The sequence below is a fragment of the Homo sapiens genome, chromosome 4, assembly GCF_000001405.40.
Source record: "Homo sapiens chromosome 4, GRCh38.p14 Primary Assembly".
Classification (NCBI taxonomy): domain Eukaryota; kingdom Metazoa; phylum Chordata; class Mammalia; order Primates; family Hominidae; genus Homo; species Homo sapiens.
The window spans coordinates 158565009-158587951 of NC_000004.12; the positions used below are offsets into that span (position 1 = coordinate 158565009).

Genomic DNA, 22943 nt, shown 5'->3' on the forward strand with positions numbered 1-22943 from the left:
AGTAGTGGTCCAGAGAAGAATTTCGGAGTTCCACTGGGGTGAGAAGGGCATCCTTAGAGGGGGCTGGTGCCTGGTCCTAAACAGGGTGGGGAGAGTGCTCATGTAAGTGAGAGTCTGCACTGAGTAAGGCGAGGAGAGCATCCATGCAGGAAAGAGGATCTGTCAAGATAATAAATATATTAAGTTAATAGAAAGCAAGCTTCTCTCACTGTCAGGAAAGGGAGTAACAGATATGTAAAGGGAGAAAATTAGACTGAGCCTGTAGTGTTGGATAAGAACTGGAGATGAACTCATAGTTTTCAGTATTAGAAATATACAGAGAAATTAATACAGATGGAAATGTGTGTATGTATGAATAACCATACATATATTTCCTAGTCTGTCCACTGAGAGACCTGGTGGCAGTGATACTCCACTATCAGTGAGCTTACCTTGTGTCTACATCTTGGCTTCTAAATACCATTCTACCCAGAGAGGACCCAGAGCTCCTTAGAGAAATGGCTAGTTACAGGGCTATAGCAGGGAAAATGCAAGATGATCCTGAAACATCTTGTAGTGCCAGAAAGCAAGGAAGAGTGCTCAAAAAATGATGCATAAATATTACAAAGACACCAAAGCTAGGTTAAAAGAGTTCCTACTGGTCCAATTTGAGACAACTTGCACATCAGAATACATAATAATAATCAACAGATTGTAACCCATTGAACAAAATAGGAAGCCATAAGTCTACCTGATAGAAATAAGTAAATGAATAAATTAACACTTTGATGAGGAAAGGGACTTTTGCAGTTTCAAAGTACCCCTCTACAAAATATGTATTAATTACAAAGGAATTTGGGTGAAACCACTAATGGAAAAAATTAATATCTTGTACTACCTGACAGGTTGAAATGAGCATCACTTGTGTGAATTTTATGCCAAAGATGCATAACCTGAATCTAATTATGATGGACATCAGACAACCCAAATTCAGGAACATTCTACAAAATAATTGACTTGCATTTTTCAAGGGTCAAGGCCATGAAAATGAAAAGAGGCTAAAGAAATGTGACAATTAAATGCAAGGAGCGATTCCAAACCAGATCCTTTTACTACAAAGGACATTTTGCAGGGGCAATATATAAACTTTAATGGGTTCTGAGGTTTAAGTGGTAGTAACAACTCCATGTTAAATTCCTGATTTTAATGGTTCTATTTACATAGGAAAATATTCTTGTTTGTAGGAAATACTAAAGTATTTAAGGGTGCTAGAGCATCAGGTCAAAAACTTACTTTCAAATGGTGGGGTGGTGGGGAAATGTTCTTTATCCAATACTTGCAACTTCTCAGTTTGAGATTATCTCAAAATTTTAAAATTATCTCAAAATTTTTTTTTTGAGAGTTTCGCTCTTGTTGCCGAGGCTGGAGTGCAGTGGTGCAATCTCGGCTCACTGCAACCTCCACCTTCAGGGTTCAAGTGATTCTCCTGCCTCAGCCTCCCGAGTAGCTGGGATTACAGGCGCCCGCCATCACACCCAGCTAACCTTTTGCATTTTTAGTAGAGATGAGGTTTCACCACGTTGGCCAGGCTGGTCTCCAACTCCTGACCTCAGATATCTGCCCACCTCAACCTCCCAAAGTGCTGGGATTACAGGCATAAGCCACCACACCCGGCCCAAAAGTTACTTTTAAAATATCACTTTAAAATATTTAAGATTCCTGATATAGCTGTTGAATCATAATGTTATGAAAATGTAGAACTAATTTCATGATACCGAGAGGTGACAGCGTGCTGGCAGCCCTTGCAGCCCTCGCTCGCTCTCGGCACCCCCTCGCCTTGGCGCCCATTCTGGCCGGGCTTGAGGAGCCCTTCAGCCCACCGCTGCACTGTGGGAGCCCCTTTCTGGGCTGGCCAAGGCCAGAGCCGGCTCCCTCAGCTTGCGGGGAGGTGTGGAGGGAGAGGGGCAGGCAGGAACCAGGGCTGCGTGCAGCGCTTGCAGGCCAGCGCCAGTTCCGGGTGGGCATGGGCTCTGTGGCCAGCACTCGGAGTGGCCGGCCGGCCCGCCAGTCAGGGGTAGTGAGGGGCTTAGCACCTGGGCCAGCAGCTGCTGTGCTGGATTTCTCGTGGGGCCTTAGCTGCCTCCCCGCTTGGCAGGGCTCGGGACCTGCAGCCTACCATGCCTGAGCCTCCCTCTCACCCCGCCTTGGGCTCCTGCACAGCCGGAGCCTCCCCGACGACCATGGCCCCCTGCTCCAGGGCACCCAGTCCCATTGACTGCCCTAGGGTTGAGAAGTGTGGGCGCACGGCCGGGACTGGCAGGCAGCTCCACCTGCAGCCCCTGTGAGCGATCCACTGAGTGAAGCCAGCTGGGCTCCTGAGTCTGGTGGGCACTTGGAGAATCTTTATGTCTAGCTAAGGGATTGTAAATACACCAATCAGCACTCTGTATCTAGCTCAAGGTTTGTAAACACACCAATCAGCACCCTGTGTCTAGCTCAGGGTTTGTGAATGCACCAATCAGCACTCCATATCTAGTTAATCTGGTGGGGACTTGGAGAACCTTTATGTCTAGCTAAGGGATTGTGAATGCACCGATCGGCACTCTGTATCTAGCTCAAGGTTTGTGAATGCACCAATCAGCACTCTGTGTCTAGCTCAGGGTTTGTAAATACACCAATTGGTACTCTGTATCTAGCTAATCTAGTGGGGACGTGGAGAACTTTTGTGTCTAGCTCAGGGATTGTAAACACACCAATCAGCACCCTGTCAAAACAGACCAATCAGCTCTCTGTAAAACAGACCAATCGGCTCTCTGTAAAACGGACCAATCAGCAGGATGTGGGTGGGGCCAGATAAGGGAATAAAAGCAGGCTGCCCAAGTCAGCAGTGGCAACCCGCTCGGGTCTCCTTCCAGCTTGTGGTGGCTTTGTTCTTTTGCTCGTTGCAATAAATCTTGCAGCTGCTCACGCTTTGGATTCACACTGCTTTTATGAGATGTAACACTCACCTCTAAGGTATAAAGCTTCACTCCTGAAGCCATCAAGACCACGAACCCACTGGGAGGAATGAACAACTCCGAACACACTGCCTTTATGAGCTGTAATACTCACCACAAAGGCCTTCAGCTTCACTCCTGAGCCAGTGAGACCACGAACCCACCAGAAGGAAGAAACTCCAAACAAATCCGAACATCAGAACTCTAGACTCGCTGCTTCTAAGAACTGTTAACACTCAACGCGAGGGTCTGCGGCTTCATTGTTGAAGTCAGTGAGACCAAGAACCCACCAATTCCGGACACAATACAATCATTGAGGAGCTATATCTGCCACTAAATATAAATTTTAAAGACTGGACATAAAAAGATAATATTCAGAAAAGTTATGTGGAGAAGAATATTCAAAAGAGCTGCATGAAAACACAGGCAGGTATGGCCAGTTAAAACATCTTCAAAGTAGCTGTAGCTGGAGGCTAATTCATTAAAGAATTTTTCTTAAAATCTTGGTGTTTAAAGTGTTCTTAAAAAATTAATAAAGATATAAAAAGTTAGTCTCAACACAGATTGGTTTATTTGTATGCTTGAGATCTCTGAAATACGTGATGTTCTGCCAGTGATGGCCTTTTTTTTTACTTTGTTTTAAACAATTGGTTGAAAAAAGATTAATTTTGAATAATTTCACAAGTGAGAACATTATTTGTAGCACAGCTCATTATTATATACATTTGACTATGTCCTTCATCAAACTATGTGCTCTGAAATGACTACGTACAAAGCCTTTCATACATGGATTGCTTCTCTCTATGAGAATGTTAATTGCCCTGTTATTAAGAAGTCCCGCTATACTTCACAAAGGAAGTAGTCACTTTTATTTTTTCATGCTTTGATCATTGACCCCAAATACATTTTTACATAATAAGCTTTTAATGATTATTCAAACTATTCTGTTCTTATTTCTTCATAATTATAAGTATTCTAGAAAGTTCCAAAGATTTACAAACTTGGTAAGGATAATGGGAGCATAACTGTACTGGGAGTCTACAGATATCTTTGAAATTATATGAATCTCAGATTTTAAAGTGTTATAGTTAATATGTGGCCAACACAAAAACCTGCACACAGGTGTTTATAGCAGCTTGTTCGTAATTGCCAAAACTTAGAAGCAACCAAGATGTCTTTCAGTAAGTGAGTGGATAAATATATATTAGTAAGTGTGAGAAGCCAGTTTGAAAAGGCTACCTACTGCATGATTCCAATGACATAACATTCTGGAAAAAGAAGAACTATGGAGATAGTAAAATGTTCAGTGGTTACCAGAGGACTTTTAGGGCAGTGAAACTACTCTGTATTATACTATAATGGTGGATACGTGTCATTATACATTTGTCCAAACCCATAGAATGTATAACATCAACAGTGAACTCCAATGTAAACTACGGACTTTGACTGACAATGATGTGTCAGTGTAGGTTCATCAACTGCAACAAATGCACCACTCTGGACTGGGGAGAGTGTTGATGGTGGAGGAGGCAGGGACTATATGGGCACTCTCTGTACCTTTTGCTCTATTTTGCTGTGAACCTAATAGCTATAAAAAATAAGGTCTACTTTTTAAAATGGCATTGTTGCCCTTCAAAGTCAGAATAGGATGGTTATGTGAAACGTTATCAAATATTCATACCTTTCAATTGTTTATGGAACAATTTTTACTCCTTAAGTTTGTCTCCTCTAATTTTACTATTCAACAAGTAATTTTCAGCATCCCTAACCAGAGATACAAACAAATAACGACAAGGGCTTTGTTTACAATGAGTGTTCTTTTTTGTTGGTGGGGGGTGGGGATAAGATTAAAGCATTCGAAACAATTGGACAACCAATATGTGATGAAATTTAATTAATTGATTGTTAGTGTAGATGAGTGTGTCTGGTGCAAAGAGGTTAAAGTGGACTGCTTTTTGAAGTATTGATAGTTTTAAAGTTCTTATAGTGCTCTTCATTCTATTAAATGTTTATTTGTAGGGGTATAAATATAGCAAATCAGATAATATTTCAAAACTTTAATATTTAAATTAGCTTGGACACTCAAACATTCTTTCCTAGAAACGCAATTGCAAATAATGACTAATTTTTCTTCAAAAAAGGAAGTAAAAGAATATTTATCTAATAGGATTAGAATCTCACCTAGATGCAAGCCAATAAAGTCTGAGTCAGGAATTCCAACAAGGCTGGAGCCCAAATTTCAGGAGGAAGTGATAGTGACGAGGGGGAATGGTAGTGATGGAGAAGGAGTTCCAGGAATCGGGGAAGGTATAAAAAACCAGAATGGGACTTCTGGATTGAAGATGGAGTTTGAAAGTGTTGAAGTGAGTGAGAAAGTATTGAGCTGAGTTAGAAAACTCACATGGTGAAGCTCTTGGGTAAGGATGGAAATGAAGGCAAATGAGCTATCTTTATTCTTGCACCCTACCTTTCCCCCAGAGAGTCTCAGTGGTGGCACTGCCATGCTTCCAGCTGGTCAAGCCAATTCAGAACATTCTGTCCATTTCCATTCTACCCCTAAATTACATGTCAAATATGTTCACTTCTCTCCTCTCCACTGGCGCCATTCTAGACTAAGCCTCATTTGTCTATTACCTGGAGCACTGCAAAGTTTCCTAATCAGCAGCCCAGCTTTCCCTCCTACCCTCCCCTCAAGTCTCCTACCCAATGGCACTCCATCCCAGTAGCCAGAATTATATGACCAAAACATACCTGTTTCCTAATTGGCCCCTTGGCTTCAAATTCTTCATTGATTCCCCTTTGCATTTTAAATAAAACCCAAACTTCTTCCCTTTGCCCAAGGATACTTCTCTACCTCATCAACCTCAGCTCATGTCACTTGTCCCTGCTCACTGGGCTCCATCACCACAACCCTCCCAGAGTTCCGTAATCCTCAGCCTGAAGCCTCTTCCTCACCACTTTAACTACCACCACCACTTCCCCACTCCTACCTCCCCTACTCTCATGGGTGATTTCCTTTTCTTCCTCCAGATCTCAGCTTAAATGACACCATTTTACAGCGGCCTCCCTCTAACTACCCCTTGTACAAAGCACCAGCACACAGTTATTTTCCATTACATCACCTGTTTTCTTTCTTTTTGGACCTCTCCATAAATTGTAAATATTTATTAACTTGTTCAATGTATCCTCCCTGGGAGATGGTAACCTCCCCTAGGGCAGGAACTCTGTTTCATTCAATGATGCATGCATAAAATCTTGCACAGGGCCTTACACTTAGCAACTATCCAATATAGAAATGATCACATGGCACCTGCTTTCCTGTTATCCTCTATGTCTTCTTGTTTCTCCAATACTAATACAGGAGTTATTAAGAAATTATTTTAGGCAGTTAGGGTAAAAGAGGCTGGGCGCGGTGGCTCACACTTGTAATCCCAGCACTTTGGGAGGCCGAGATGGGCGGATCACCTGAGGTCAGGAGTTCAAGACCAGCCTGACCAACATGGTAAAACCTCGTCTCTACTGAAAATATAAAATTAGGCGTGGTGGTGCATGCCTGTAATCTCAGCTACTCAGGAGGCTGAGGCAGAAGAATCACTTGAACCTGGGAGGCGGAGGTTGCAGTGAGCCAAGATTGTGCCGTGGCACTCCAGCCTGGGCGACAAGAGTGAAACTCTGTCTCAAAAAGAAAAAAGAAAAAAAAATAAGAAATGGTAAAACAGTCCTCGGTGGAATTTTCCTTTAATAAAAAGCAGCCCCAAACCATTTCTTTTCTAACAGAAGCAGCCTGAAAAGTCAAGCTGCAAGCACAGATATGCAAGCTGGAAGCTTTCGTATGTAAATGTCAGCAGCTGTACCTGGAAGCCAGATACATTCAATGTGGCGATTCCCGCTCCCTTTTCCTTATCACCATGTGTGTGGGTATCACAGCACTGGCCAGGTAAAGCCATGTGTGCAGGTGTCAGGGTGACAGCCAGGTAGAAGCCACATTTGCATAATAAAAGATTAGGGTGGGAGGGCCAGTCTTTTAGGTCTTTTTGCAGGCTATGTAAATGACACACCTGGTGAAACCAATCCCCTGGGCTCTATGTAAATCAATCACCGCCTCCTCAAGCCTCTGTACAAAATCAATCGTGTTCTGCCCCAAAACCCGGAAACCCTCTCTTGGGCCACCGGCTTTCTCATCATGAGGAAACTTTTTCTCTCTTCTTTTTTGTCTATTAAACTTTCCTCTCCTTAACCTACTCCACGTGTGTGCCCGTGTACTTAATCATCTCAGGGTGAGACAATGAACCACAGGTTTTCCACAGACAATGAAGTCGTTTCAATACCAGACCAGCCTTGATTCTGAGCCCATAGTAAGAATACAACAAATTCCTGTTTTTAAAATTATTGGCTGAAAATTGTTTGTAGAAGACGGTAATTGGATTGAACTGTGAAGTATGGGCAGACGTTTCATAGAAGAGAGGAATGGAGAGGCACTCCGGGTGGGAAACAGCATGAACAAAGGCAAAGAGGAAAATGTTGGCATCTTCTGGAATCATGGAAAGAACGTCCTAAGAGGTGAAGGTTCCTAGAAAATAACTGGCATCAGGGTTGTATGTAGAAACCATGATGAGAAAGACAAATGATTATAAAATATCAGGGAGAAACTGCTCTTTGCCACGCCTTTGTATTAACCACCTTCAAACTTTGTGTCTTCTCCCCTTTTCCTCAGTTTCTCATGGGGGTGGACAGGATGTCAAGTGCTCCCTTGGCTATTTCCCCTGTGGGAACATCACAAAGTGCTTGCCTCAGCTCCTGCACTGTAACGGTGTGGACGACTGCGGGAATCAGGCCGATGAGGACAACTGTGGTGAGTGAAGCCCCTGCAGTCACGGTGAGAGAAAGGAGCAGAAAGGACTGAAGGTGAAGTCGCTGAGACTTCTCTCAACAAAAAGACAAAACTAAATTGAAATACAAAACATATGTTGCTTAAGGAAATCTTACACTTATTTCAGTAGCTTAAAATATCCACTCTTTTCTTTTCTTGTTTTTGTTTTTTTTTGAGACGGAGTCTCGCTCTGTTGCCAGTCTGGAGTGCAGTGGCGTGATCTCGGCTCACTGCAACCTCTGCCTCCTGGGTTCAAGTGATTCTCCTGCCTCAGCCTCCCGAGTAGCTGGGACTACAGGTGCCCACCATCACGCCCGGCTAATTTTTTGTATTTTTAGTAAAGACAGGGTTTCACCGTGTTAGCCAGGATGGTCTCAATCTCCTAACCTCGTGATCCACCCACCTCTTCCTCCCATAGTGCCGGGATTACAGGCATGAGCCACCGTGCCCACCCTTAATATCCACTCGTTTCCATGTAATGGTATCACAGCCAATATTCCAGGCGAGTGGTGGTTGCTCACAGAGTAAGTTTTAACCAAGATTGTCCAACCCGCAGCCTGCAGGCTGCATGCGGCCCGGGATGGCTTTGAACGCAGCCCAACACAAATTCATAAGGATTTTGAAAGCATTAGATTTTTTTTGTGATTTTTTTTTTAAGCTCATCAGCTATCATTAATGTAAGTGTATTTTATGTGTGGCCCAAGACAACTCTTCTTCCAATGTGGTCCAGGGAAGCCCAAAGACTGGACACCCTTGTTTTAACCCAACAAACCTGCCCAAGTAAGGTGTTAGAGGCAGAATACGGTTGAAATTGAGAATACGGGCTCTGGAGCCAGACTGCCCAAGTTTGAACCTGGGTATGACGATAAGCAATTATGTAAGCTTGAGAACATTTCCTAGCCTCTCTGTACCTCAGTTTCCTCATTTCATAAAAGGGCATGGTAATTGTGCCTATACTCTAAGAATTCAGGAAGATTAAGGGTACAGAATTAGAAGAGTACTGGACATCTAGGAGGTGCTGTCCAGGTGTTGGATGCTGTTGCCCTTTCTTATCTTTTGGGACGAAAAGTGAGTTCTTCTAAAAGAGACAAAACAAACAATATGTAAATACAACTTACTTCCTACTTAACCAACAACCATACCTCTGGATTTATAAAGCCAGTAAGTAGGGCTTCTGGCCAATTTGAATATGGGAAAATAGCTTTCAGTTAGAATTTTGTTCAAACTTCTGAAGCCTTGAAAATACAAAGTTAGAACCTGAATTGTTTGGATCTGAGTCACTGGGAAAATAAACTTCGGTTAATAATGTAAAGTAGTAAGATTTCTCACCTGTCAAGAAATAAGGTACTATTTTGGGAGGACTAAAAGATGCATAACAATGCTATTATGCAAAGTGTCACATAAATAATATATGCTAATGAGGCCTTGCTGTGATCACTCCCCCAAGTATTTCAGGCTTTTTAAGAAACCACCTTGAAGGAATTAAGTTTCCGTTAACATAAAATAAGATGAACACCTGGCTTGAAAATCCTCCTACTTGAAAAAAATCAGCTAGGTCACACAAGCAGACCTTAACTGAGCTAATTTCTTGAATGTAACTGAAACTTAGGTTGTTTCTTGTAAATGCCTCTGATAATCACAAACAAAACTTAAATTGTCTTTCTAAAGTGGTATAAGGTAAATCACTTTTAACCAGTCCGCTATCACCTGGAAACCCCGTTGTAATAACCAGTCATGGAAAAGGTTGAAGAAATTCCTCATTTTCACTTTATGAGCAATCCTATAATACATGCCTCTGAGCTTTCTTACTGCCTGGGCTGAAATCTCCCTGATATCGAGCTGTACTTTCTCTTACTGTATGATAATAAACTTTTAAATTTTTATAACTTGATCTGATTTTATTTTTGCCACTTCTTAGTTTGAAACACTATTTCTATGTGATGGCAGTAACTCAAGTATAACCACACTATCTAAACTAGTGAGCTTAAGCTGCAATTGTATTTGATTTGGATGGCTATAAATACGTTTTCATTTATTTAAAAAAAACAACGTCTTGTTAAAATAAATTAATATTACATAATTTTTTAATTAGATGAAACAGTGTTTTGCCCACTGCTAGTCAGTTCCCCGTCGACCTGCTGGCAGTTCAAATAGAGAGTTCTAGACAGAGCAACAGGAAAACTTCACTCCAATTAAAATGGCAGCTGGAAGCAGGAAAGGAACGTGGTGGGAGTAGCAAATTTACCAGCAAATGTAGCTTCTCAGTGGAAAAAAAGCTTGGGAACTCTAGCTTTAGTGCTAAGTTTAAAGAGGCCAAGTAGCAAAAGTAGCAATCCTTACAGTAATAATCCTTAAAATCATGCAAGTTTCTCAGGATTCACCAAAAAGCACATTTAGACAGAGGCAATAGGGCATTGGGGTTTCAGAGAGAAGTTTAGAAATCAGAGTTAAACTCTAGCTATAAAGGGAGGCAAAAAATGGCTTGTTTTCTTTTCTATAAAACAGGAATAATAAGAGTATCCATGTTCATGGGTTGTTAACAGGATTCCATGAGATAATGTATCCGAGATGCTTAGCAGAGTACAGGTGCTTTGGACTGAATGCTTGTGTCCCCCATAAAGTTTATATGTTGAAGCCCTATCCCCCAGTGTGATAGGATTTGGAGATGGGATTTGGGGGATGTAATTAGGAATACGTGAGGTCATAAGAGTGGATTAGCATCCTTATGAGTCCTAAGGGAGCTTGCTTCATCTCTCCACCATGTAAGGAAACAGCAAGAATACTGCTGTCTGTGAACCAGAAAGTGGGCCATCACTAGACATGACTCCACCAGCACCTTGATCTTGGACCTCCCAGTCTCCAGAACTATGAAAAATAAATGTTTATGTTTAAGCCACCCAATCTATGATACTTAGTTATAGTAACTTGACCTAAGACAATAGGACATGAAATTAGCACTCAATAAATGTTACCTAGTGTTATCAGTTAGCTGTAATTATATTACAAACATAGTGGCCTAAAACGTAACCATTTATTTAGCTTATGATTCTTGGGGTCAGCAATTTTGGATGGACTCCACTGAGATCAGCTAGGCAGTTCTGGTCTCAGCTGGATTTTCTCAAGCACCTGCAGTCATCTGTGGATCAGCTATGCCATGATGCCTGGGACCTTGTCTGTGTCCTTAATTCACCATTGCCAACGTTTGAAACCTCTCAAGTCCAGTTTTGGATATCTGGGAAAGATCATAATTCACTCTTATAAAGACATGTCTATGTAAAAAATAACTATTTCAATTTGTTACTGATCTTCTTATGCCAGAATCACATAACTTTCTTGAAATTCACCTAGACCACTGGATCTCCAAAAGTAGTCCTGAGACCAAATTCATCAACATTACCCAAGAAGTTGTTAGAAATACACATTTTGGCCAGGCCCAGTGACTCACACCTGTAATCCCAGCACTTTGAGAGGCCAAAGTGGGAGGATTGCTTGAGTCCAGGAGTTGGAGATCAGCCTAGGCAACATGGCAAAAACCTGTCTCAATATTTTTTAAAAAAGAAAAAATAATTATTTTAAAATATTTATATAAAAATTTAAAAAAAGAAATGAAAATTCTCAGGCTCCATCCCAGACCTATTGAATCAAAAGCTCTGTTTTAATATGAGCCTCGTGTCATTCTAATACACGCTAAGTTTTGAGAACCATGAACCTAAACCCAATGAGCAGAAAATCAGGAATGCATGCAAAATGGTAGCAACAGCAGAGATACATTAGAATCAAGTTTTCAATATGGTACACAAGCATTCTAACTTGCTCACAAACTCCATTATTATCAATTATCTACAATTTTTAGCTCCTCTAGGAAAACCGGTATGCTAGTAGTGGCAGTCATCTAGAAATAGAAAAAAAAAATTAATTCCGTTCAAAACCTCAAAGATGCCCAGTTGGCATGCTGCTGCTGTCCATGCAAAAATAGACTGGAACTTTCCAGGAAGGATGGCAGAATTTCATCACCATCTTTAGAGTCCAGGTGATGGAAAAATTATGAGATGCAGTTATTTCTGTTTGTCTCTAATTGCTTTAATTTCCCTTGCAAACTGAGTGGTTTTTTCCTTCATTTTATAGTATCTGGATCATTTATGCTCCCAAGGCTGTTCTTTTCTTCTTCTTCTTCTTCTTCTTCTTCTTTCTTCTTTTTCTCTTTTGAGACAGTCTCATTCTGTCACCCAGGCTGGAGTGCAGTGGCGTGATCTCAGCTCACTGCAACCTCTGCCTCCAGGATTCAAGTGATTCTCCTGCTTCAGCCTCCCAAGAGCTGGGGCTACAGGTGTGTGTTACCATGCTCAGCTAATTTTTTGCATTTTTAGTATTGATGGGGTTTCACCATGTTAGCCAGGATGGTCTCAATCTCCAGACCTCATGATCCACCAGCCTCGGCCTCCTAAAGTGCTGGGATTACAGGCATGAGCCCACCGCACCTGATCGGCTGTTCATTTTTAAAACATCCATATGTAAATTCTGTTTAATACTAATTAAATTAAGTCAGAAAGTTGCTTCTTTTCAGAATATGTAAACCTCATGCATATTTTCCGTCATGTAAAATACAATATCTTAACATACAAATATAAGAAAACCCCATAATTAAAAATCATTTTTAGAGTAATAACTTACAACTTAATAGTATATTGTCAAATAAAATACCTTCTTTTAATGAAAGAGTTTTTTCTTAATTAGACCTTTTAAGGTATATCTTAAACTCCAAAAACCTCTCCCTTATTCTGTCAAGCTATTTAAACCTTGACACTAATAATAATTATTAAAATGGAAAAATAAGTCAAATGGAAATTGTAGAAATAAAATTTAGGGATATCGCTGAAAAAAATGAAACACCAAATGAATTAAACTGAGTCTCTATATTTGAACTAATACATGAACTAATTATATTTAGAAAGAACTGTCACTTTTGTGTTATCGCAGGCACTTTAAACAAGTACTCTTATTTAGTACATATTAAGGTCCCAGTTTTCTCAGAAAACCCATAAATAATTAATTTCCCTGTAATTAAACACTTTATTAAGTATAAAAAATAAAATATTTCAGCACAAAGAGCATGACATTAACTCAGTGAAGATTTTTTGTGAACACAATGCAAGCAAAATCAATAGATTTAAAATTTTTCAGTTGAATTCATATGAATCCTTTTTTCTAAAATATTTACACAATATGGAATTTACATGTATACAGACATACATATATCAAAAACTGATTACACTATTTTTATAATAACTTTGATCCTTACTGGTGAACTTCAGTATAGAAATGTATAGATGTTTCCTGAGTTATGCAATTTTATATCATTCCCATATAATTCCATTTGTTTTTTTGCCATGTGTCACTAAACCATTCTTCATCTCTGCTCAGAACTGTCACAGACACAATCAAACAGCATAAGGACCAAAAAAATTTTTTTAAGTCATCAGAGCAGTGTTTGATGTGACAATGACAAACCCAAAAGGAGGGACCTTTCAGTTTTTCAGCTAGAACTATGATACCTGAGAGAATACATCTGGGTAAATAACAAAGGAACCTGATAACAAAAAGTTGAGGGTTCTTCTTTAGGAATCATCTGTGTTCATTTTCAAATGAGTGCAAGCTCAGTAGTAAAAATGTTAAAGGAACATCAAATTCTCAGATGCTGTTAAATTAGTTCACTTCCTCTAGATTTGTATTTAAAAGAAACTCTTTACGTTTCTAGATTAGAATTTGCTCTAGCATTCCTTCTGTGTTATAAACAGAAGGCTGTGCTAAATAAGGGCTCCCCCTCATGGTTACACTAACCCAACCTTATCTGAGAGACAGGTTGAATTACTGTAACTGGGAAGACTGGCTTTCTGGTGCCTCCCTACTGTACTCTTGTTCTTTAGCACTTTAGCAGCCTTGTCTACAGGAAAAGGATAAAGGCCTTTGTCAGTCTGTTTACATATTACCAATTCTATAACCCATAGGGGAAATGGAAAACCTCTTCTAATACATTTTGGGTCGTGTAGTGTGTTAGTATCTGCCAAAAATTAACGTGCAAATAATGTGACCTTATTTGGAAATAGGGTCTTTGCAAATATAATGCAGGTAAAGAGTGACATCATACTAGATCAGGGTGGGCCCTAGATCCAATGACAGTGTCCTCGCAAGAGACAGGAAATGGCATACAGAGATGCTGGAGAGAAGAGGGCTGTGTGAAGACAGAGGCAGAGACTGGAGCGATGCTGCCACAAGCCAAGGAACACCAGGAGCCATCAGAAGCTGAAAGAGGCAAGGAAAGATTCTCCCCCTAAACCTTCTGAGACGCTGTGGCCCCACTGACACCTTGGTTGCAGACGTCTGGCCTCCAGAACTGTGAGAGAACAAACTTCTCTTGTTCTTGTTTTTTTGTTTTGAGACAGAGTCTCACTCTGTAGCCCAGGCTGGAGTGCAGTAGCACAATCTCGGCTCACTGCAACCTCTGCCTACCGGGTTCAAGCAATTCTCCTGCCTCAGCCTCCTGAGTACAGGAACTACAGGCGCATGCCACCACCCCCAGCTAATTTTTGTATTTAATAGAGATGGGGTTTCACCGTGTTGGCGAGGATGGTCTCGATCTCTTGACCTCGTGATCCGCCCACCTCGGCCTCCCAAAGTGCTGGGATTACAGGCGTGAGCCACCGCAGCCTGCCCAACTTCTCTTGTTTTAAGTCACCAAGTTTGTGGGAATTTGTTACAGCAGCCCTGGGGAACAATGCATGTTAGGACAGTTTGTGGAGAAGGGCCATCTTCTGTGGGCCTAAAGAGACATTATTAAGGTCGACATAAAGTTCTGGTCCAGATTAAAGCAAGCCTTAGAATTTAGTCTTAGTGGATTTTAGACAGAATTTCCAATGAGCTGTTCTTACGCATAATTGTATGTGGTATAAAACCTCCTAAAGATGATTTTGCTTCACTGTTCACTTGCAGTTCTGGGTTGTGCTAAACTTGAACCACATGGTTTTTACCGGGTGTTTTGTACTCTTTTATGTTATGGTGAGTCAGGTATGGCTACAAGAGACACCAGGGAGGCTCAGAAACACAAAAGTTTATTATTCCCACAGGTTCTAGAGACAGGAGGCAGGGCATACCATACAGGGCTAGATGGGAAAGACACCAGGATGGTCAGGAGGCAGAAGACGGGTGAGAGGGGAGGCATCAGGCCAGAGCCTTTATTGGGGTTTCTGAGGGAAACACAAGGCAGTGCAGGGTGAGCAGCTTAAGATGTGCTGGTTTGAATAATTTTGGAGGGCTCTAAACATTAGCAGTGGTCCTTACTTCCCAGCTACCTGGCCCTAGGATAATGAGGAGGAGGACTATTGCCTCCGGGGTGTGTGGGCTAATCAGAGGAGCTCTAGGTCTGGATTGGTTAGTTTGCATATCAAAGGCATGCTCTGAGCACCCTTTGCTCTCTAAGAACTGACAAGCCCTGGGAAAGACAATCTCTTACTAGCCTAGAAAGGTTTTTTAAAAGATGTTAAATATCATAATATACAGAAAAAATGTTTAAATGTACAATATACCAAGTCTTTCTTGAGTTCAACTTTGCCAGCACTTCCCTCCCTGCCTCCCACTTCTCAAATGTACACAGAAAGTTGCGGCAACAAACAACAGTAAGTAGAGAGTCACCTTTACCATGTAGCAAAAACTGCCCTCTGCCTATGAATGCTTCTCTGGGAAGCTCCTTGAAAGTATGAACATTTTCCCACGTAAAGTTTTCTATTTCAGCTCCTTCCCAATGTGATCTTAAATGCTTTGCCTTCCCTCCCCACTGCGGCGGACTTTGTTGTCTGTTAGTAATAGTTTACTTTGCAATTTTGCCATTCACTGAATATTTTAGGTTTGAAAAGACATCTTATGTTCTAGGTTTGTCTATGCATGACTACTTTTTTTATTATTATTTTTGAGACTGAGTCTTGCTCTATCACCCAGACTGGAGTGCAATGGCGCGATCTCAGCTCACTGCAACCTCCGCCTCCCAGGTTCAAGTGATTCTCCTGCCTCAGTCTTCTGAGTAGCTGGTATTACAGGCACCTGCCACCACACCTGGCTAATTTTTAATAGAGACAGGGTTTCACCATGTGGTCCAGGCTGCTCTCGAACTCCTGACCTCAAGTGATCTACCCACCTTGGCCTCCCAAAGTGCTGGGATTGCAGGCATGAGCCACCATACCCAGCCTGTGCATGACTATTTGTGACACTATATTCTAACCCTCCTAGGAATATTTGGTTTTGTCTAATAAGAGTTGTAATAATAAAATTAATAGTGTCTTATATTTTTTTAGTATTTATTATGTTTCAGACATAGTCCTAATCCTTTAAGCACATTCTCTCATTCCTCCTCACTATAAATTAGATATGATAGACTATTTCCATTACACAGGGAAGGAAAATGGAAGTACAGAGAGGTTACATAACTCTTCTGACATCATGGTTTGCTCAGAATTCATACCAAATGCTTGGCTTGTTCTGTTTTGTTTTTGTTTGGGAGGAAAGAACATGCTTATGATGTTAATCATTGTGTAGTAGGGCCTTCAAACAAATCTCTTATTGATAAAATTTGAATTCTATGAAGTCTTCCCTTTAAGGATTTTGGTTTTAAAAAGGTAAATTATTTTTAACTTTCTTTTTAAAATATATAAGAGATTAGATGAACTTCCAAACCTAAAATTGCAAGTATAATAGTATGAATAATGAGTAGTATTTTTATAGCAGTTTCCATTTTGAGTGCTTTATACATTTTACCTCATTTAATCCTCATGACAACCCAGGAGAAAGGGACTGTTTTTGTTCCCTTTAAAGATGGAGACATTGATGCACTGCATCAATTTCATCCAAGTCATGGATGTCTGTTTTGCCTTGTTATAAAGGAATAGTTGTGGCTGGGTAATTTATGAAGAAAAGAGGTTTATTTGGCTCATGGTTCTGCAGACTTTCCAAAAAGCAGGGTACCAGCATCTGCTCAGCTTCTGATGAGGGCTCAGGCTGCTTCCACTCATGGCAGAAGGCAGAGGGGAGCCAGTGTGTGCAAAGATTACATAGCGAGAGAGGAAGCAAGAGAGAGGAGGGGAGGTACCAGGCTCTTTTTAAGCTAGCTCTCTTTTGAGCCAATAGAGTGAAAGAGAAGTCGTTCACCCTCAAGGGACAGCATTAATCTATTCATGAGTGACCCACATTCATGATCCAAACTAGGACCCACCTCCCAATACTCCTAATACTACCACATTGGGGATTACATTTCAGCATGGGGTTGGGTGGGAACAAACAGCCAAACTATAGCAGTAGACATGACAATCATTTCAAGTTCTCAAGTGAGTGAGAAATGTAAATCTTCATTTTTCTATGGCCAAAGGTAATTTCTGCTACAAGGGTCCATTCTTCCAAGTGGTAGAAGTCTAAACCAAGGCAGTTAAAGGTCTGATTCATTTCCCTTCACCTGGCATTGCAGTTGAGCTCAGCAGTCTCTGTGGTGCCAGGACATTGTGTGGGGGTTCTGGTTGCCTGTTGTCAGCTGATGATGGCAGCATCCCCTCAGATGTGCATAAATCCATCTGGTCCTCTGCCGTAAGTCACCACTCTGTCATCTCCTGCCTGTCTTAGGCTCTTTCACATCCAGTGCCTCTCCTGCCTACATCTGCAGCACTCTGGGGCTCACAGGAAACATTTAGTACACCTGAGCCAGGCTGAGCCCAGGAGAATTTTCATGCTCATATTTAGGTCCATCTGCCTAGGCCCTTATGGCCATTTCTCCTCTACTATTCCTGTGTCAAGCCAGAGTGTGCAATAATTCTGTGGGTCCTGCCATACATATGGCCTCTACTTAGCAAAGGACACCAGGCTACCCCTGTACCCAGAGCCCAGAAACCAATATGGGAAATGTGTGGTTTCCCCTAGATTCAGCCCAAGGAGGAGGGAAGGAAGAAAGACCCCTCCACTCTCTCTGGTGCAAGTCTCTTGTTAAGTCTGGGAAAAGCAAAGCTCAGCTCTTCTCTTTTTTGGTCTTCCATATCTATTGTCAGTAATCAAATTTAAGCATTTAAAAATCAAATACCAAGAAATTTGACTACCTTATTATCTGTAAACTTCTGTCTCATCCCTTTCAGGCAATGAAAGTGGTTAATTCTAGCTGCCTAGGATAGGAAAAGGAGCAGAAAGTGCAAGGAATTTAAGAGAAGGAAAACTTTGTTAATGCCCCAAAGTATTTTTCCTGTCACTGGCTTGGCACTTACTAATCCATGAGAATTAGATAAGCAGTACTTATTTATGGGTGTGATGGTGATGATACATATTTTCAAATCAGATTACAAGAATGTTTGAAGTATGTCAAGCAGTTTTAAAATTTTCAATTGGTCCTGTGTTTAAAATTCTGGAACATTAATTATTCCATTATTTCCCAAGTACAACTTACTATACAGCTATCAGAATGATGGCAATGCCAGGTGGTTTGATGGAGACATTAGCGGTTCTCATTTTAGAATATTCCACTAAAGTTGGTGGTTTGTCTTGTTTTCAAGTTAAAAACACAGAAGGATACACATCACATGCCTGTATCAAAATATCTTATATGCCCCATAAACATATAGACTGACCATGTACCCATAAAAATTAAAAATGTAAATAAAACACAGGAGGAAAAGTGATGTGTCATAAATATGTGTATTAATGCACAATCATGCATTGTATTTTCAAAATTTTCTGGTTTTCTATTTATTATTCTCAAAATAACATTGCAAATACCTAAGTAGCTGAACCCTAGGCTTTTCTGAAAATACAGACCTAGCTTTAACCTCAAATTTGTTTATTTGTGTTTTATGATACTTAAACTATGTATGGCTTACCACCACAAAGATTTTCCTCTCAGAACACTTCCTTCTATATGGCACAGAAAAGGTAATTTGTTAGTGGCCTCAATTTCCTTTAAAGGATGCCCAGGATAATGTCACATCCTTTGATTTCCATAAACAGTTGCCTCCAAAAGGTATTAAGACCCCAGAAAGAGGTATATGTATTCTGTCCCTCAAACTGCTGTTGTCATTAAATTCAAAGAAACTCCACACAGTTTGATGAATTGCTCTGCCTGGCCAGCCTGCATTCCAGCGTTTACTCTGGTGGCCTAGGGCACCTCTGCTCTTGTGGGTAATAACCTCATTTTACTTTATGAGCAAAAGATGTTCCACTGTGTTCGAAGAATGAGTACTGAAAGTTGACTAAATACGTGAGAATCAGAAATGCTCCACTTTAGGGCCAGACATGGTGGCTCATGCCTGTAATCCGAGCACTTTGGGAGGCCGAGGTGGGTGGATCACAAGGTCAGGAGTTCGAGACCAGCCTGGCCAACATGGTGAAACCCCGTCTCTACTAAAGATACAAAAAATTAGCTAGGCATGGTGGTGCATCCCTGTAATCCCAGCTACTCAGGAGGCAGAGGCAGGAGAATTGCTTGAACCTGGGAGGTGGAGGTTGCAGTGAGCCAAGATCATGCCACTGCACTCCAGCCTGGGCAACAGGGTGAGACTCTGTCTCCAAAAAAAAAAAAAGAAAGGCTCCACTTTGCATAAATACAAGCCTTATAAATTAACCACTTATTTATTAATCAATAAGCATGTACACTTATTAAACTATCACATTTAGCCTTTCATTTTCATAAATGATCATACCATTTAACATGACATCATCACACACTCTGTTCTGGCCTCTGCTCTGACAGAGACATAAGTCCCTCAACCAAACATCAAGGGAGCCCAGGAGTGACCCTGCAAATCGACAGGAATGTTTCTGAGGACTACCTGCATCTGAGCCACCTGGGGGGCTGTGAAAGATGCTGAGTCCTAACCCCCCACCCCAGAAATGCTAATCTAATAAGTAGGAGTAAAGCCCAGGAATCTGCATTTTTTTAACAAATACCACAGATGACTATCAAACCAGTTTAAGTTTTGAAATAATTCATATGCCAATGGAGACAATTTTATTATCCAATTCATAACACCTAGAAAATGATTAGTCTAAATCAGAAGTTTTTAACGTTGGCAGACATCTAATCACTTGGAAGGCTCGTTAAAACATAGATTGCTGGGCTCTCAGGTTGCAGAGTTTCTAATTCGGTGCATCTGAAGTAAGGCCCAAGAATTTGCTTTTCTTTCAAGTTCCCAGGTGATGCTGCTGCTGGTCCCAGATATACACTTTTGAAAACCACTGATCTAGACGATCTAGACAGTCTTCTTGTGCAAATGCAAAAGCAAACATTTTCAAAATGTACTAATAGGTGTCATATGGAAAGAGTTAAACAAAATTAAAGCTATTTCTTTATTGCCTGAGTTCTCATTTCATCATACCAGCATGCATTATTAATTCCAAGTGGGGATAGAGGATGCAGCATTTCCCAAACATATGTTACCATAGAACTCTCTTCTCAAGGATATTCCTGAGAAACTATTTCAGAAAAGCCTGATAAAGCACTGTGACAAGTTAATGCATCCAAGAAACTTGGAAGTTTCCTGTCCCCAATCAAATCTCATCCTTTGTCCTCATCCCCCAGTGCCAGTGCCAGGGGAATCTAACAACATGGGGGGAGAGAGATGCCTTCTCCAGAATTCAAATTGGTATGCCTCACCCACTTTTCCATAAAACTAAATTATAACTAATACTTGGTACAAATGAAATAATGTTCATGCATTTTATGTACTTTAAACACTTTATGAGGACTAGTAAGAGCTAGATTTCAATGATATTAAAAGTACCTTATGACATTTTGAGCTGGATGATAAAAGAAAAAAAAAGATAAAAGTACCTTAGTAGTCACTGAGGTATACAAAAATACATAGGTAAAAAAGATTTTCTACTATACTCTCATAAAGAGATAAAATATATACATCAATAAGCATAGCATGAAGCAGATTACAGTAAGTATAATAAGACCGTTATAAGCAAAATGTCCTTAAGTTGGGGACCACCCACATTAATCTTATTTGAGTGTCTTAAACTACTTGATGGTCGACATCTAGCAACTTTGCTTAAAAGCAATACACTCCGAGTCACAGGATTTTTCTGTGACTAAATTCTAGCTGTCCTCCAATGCAATGTGAGAAGGACCCTAGTTGACTATGGCAAATCCCATAATGCAGTTCTTCCAAAACTTGCTTTAAGACTAACCTAGGCCACTTATGAAAAATATAGATTTCCCAGACTCCATGCTGACCAAATAAATGAGAGTCTCCAGTGGAGAAGCCTGTAAATTTGTGTTTTGGATAAATGCCCCAGCTCTCAGTTTTTATTTTAGCATAAGAGAGACTGAGCTTTCTCTGAAGTGTCTTTAAGGACAGAAATCCAATCATTCATTCATTCAATCAACAAATATTTAGTAAGCTCATGCAGCATGCAAGATCAGATTTTTCTTAATCTATGTTTTTAGACTTTATTTATAGCATGACTATATCATTTTTAGCTGAAAAGCTCTTTTTTAGTAAAAATATTTGTTTTATTGGTGCCATTTTTACAACACTACCCATATATACTGGAAACCATATCCCCTAACCCAATATTCTCTTCTGTGCGGTGCTTGTTCCACTACCCTAGACTGCCTCGAGATAAATCAGAGAATAAATTTCATCAGGATCATTACTGAAGTATGAAAAACCATTTTGATCACTGCCCTATACATCCTTAAAATATGAAGGACACAGGATTTAAAATATAGAAACACATATACCAAAAGCTGTTTTCTTTAAAATGCTAACTCTCCAACTTTGCAATTTTGGCAACATTTCCCATGTTCTATATTTCTGCTTTCTGCCTTCTGGTGGGAGGAAGTAATGGGTAGAAAGAGGAAAATACTTTGGAAAGGCAGAAAGAAAAGTAAAAGCTTATTACTAAAAGGCTTGTTTGTTTGATGATGTTGCTATTTAATGAACACAATGGTGAGGACAAAGGATTAGGAAATTGCACATAGCCCATGGTTTTAAGCATGGCATTATCTATTAATGGTAAAAAAAAAAAAGAAAATCAGCAAATTGAAATTGTCTATTTGTAAAAGCTCAGTTAAATACAGGATCTGCTAAAGAAGCCGAGTGAAAGAAAATCAGCATCTATGGCAGTCACCCAGCCACCTCTCATGAATTTCCTAGCAGCAGTGAAACATTACCCACAAAACAGCCCTGTGTTCTGGGATGCTGTCACTTCACCTAATTTCCATCACTGATCCTGAGGTAGGTGGATGTGGCAGTAACAGGAACATGAACGTGGTGCACAGAGTGAAGCGAGGCCCTGGTAGGCTGCAAGGTCGAAGCCTTCAAACCTTCACAAGCCCATTTCTCACTCACCTTCTGCAGATATGCATGAAGACTGTTTATATGAATACTCAAAGCCTCAACATACTCTGGCCTACCTACTTACATGCTTTATTTGTAACATCGATAAACATATAACCACTCATAACACTACTATGTTTTTGGTAAATTGTTTTTAGTAATACCTTGATTTGCAATACTTTCATTGATTTCATAAAGAAAAATAATGTGAATTTAAATTCCAGTTAATAACAACTTCTGGTTGTTATTTAAATAAACTTTTTTATAATTCACACAATACTGATGTAAGAGCCTCAATAACAGAAGTGAAACAGACAACAGAAAAATAAGCAGCAAATAGTAATAGCTAAATACTTAAAGCTGATGTCCCACAAAAGGTGAAATTCTATAGATAGAATGTAAACATTACATAAATTCTTTGGCCTAGAAAAGAAATACAATAATAATTTATGATTTTAATTGTTTAGTTATTTTTAATAAATCTGTTTCTTAGTCAGGTCACCTAACCTTCTTCAGTATCAATTTTTCTATCTGCAGTATCCATTCTTCTATCTGGGTTTCTGCTTATATATATCTGTAAGTGGAGATGATGATAATGACCAAATGTAGTTATGAGGATAAAATGGAGCACCTAGCACAACATGATGGGTACTTGCTAAATATGACTTCTTTCAGGGCTAAATGCTAGCATTCAGCCTCTCTTAAAAGGGGTGAATGAAAGTCTCTCAAAGAATTCTC

The 22943-nt window shown here is 40.3% G+C and overlaps 1 protein-coding gene across 24 annotated transcripts in view, besides 1 other annotated feature; it reads left to right on the forward strand.

Annotated features, from left to right (window-relative positions):
• Positions 1–22943, forward strand: part of RXFP1 (relaxin family peptide receptor 1) — a 131659-nt gene that overhangs the window by 43295 nt on the left and 65421 nt on the right. For 18 of the 24 annotated variants that reach the window (NR_045579.2, NR_045584.2, NM_001363776.1 and 15 more), the window contains one exon: positions 7690–7827. The exons of 1 other annotated variant lie outside the window; for it this stretch is intronic. Coding sequence is in view for 13 of the 23 variants with exons in the window: in XM_011532179.3 (XP_011530481.1) it covers positions 7690–7827 (138 nt within the window). In the remaining 10 variants the exon portion in view is untranslated. Of the gene's footprint in view, positions 1–7689; positions 7881–22943 lie in introns of those variants that run through there. 5 more of the 24 variants (NR_045582.2, NR_045581.2, NM_001253730.2 and 2 more) reach the window with 3 other exon arrangements.
• Positions 15002–15578: an enhancer, noted in NCBI's record as "OCT4-NANOG hESC enhancer chr4:159501162-159501738 (GRCh37/hg19 assembly coordinates)". NCBI's record gives its function as "activates a minimal SCP1, AML or CMV promoter by ChIP-STARR-seq in naive H9 embryonic stem cells {active_cell/tissue: H9 hESC(naive)}" and the evidence as "EXISTENCE:reporter gene assay evidence [ECO:0000049][PMID:30033119]".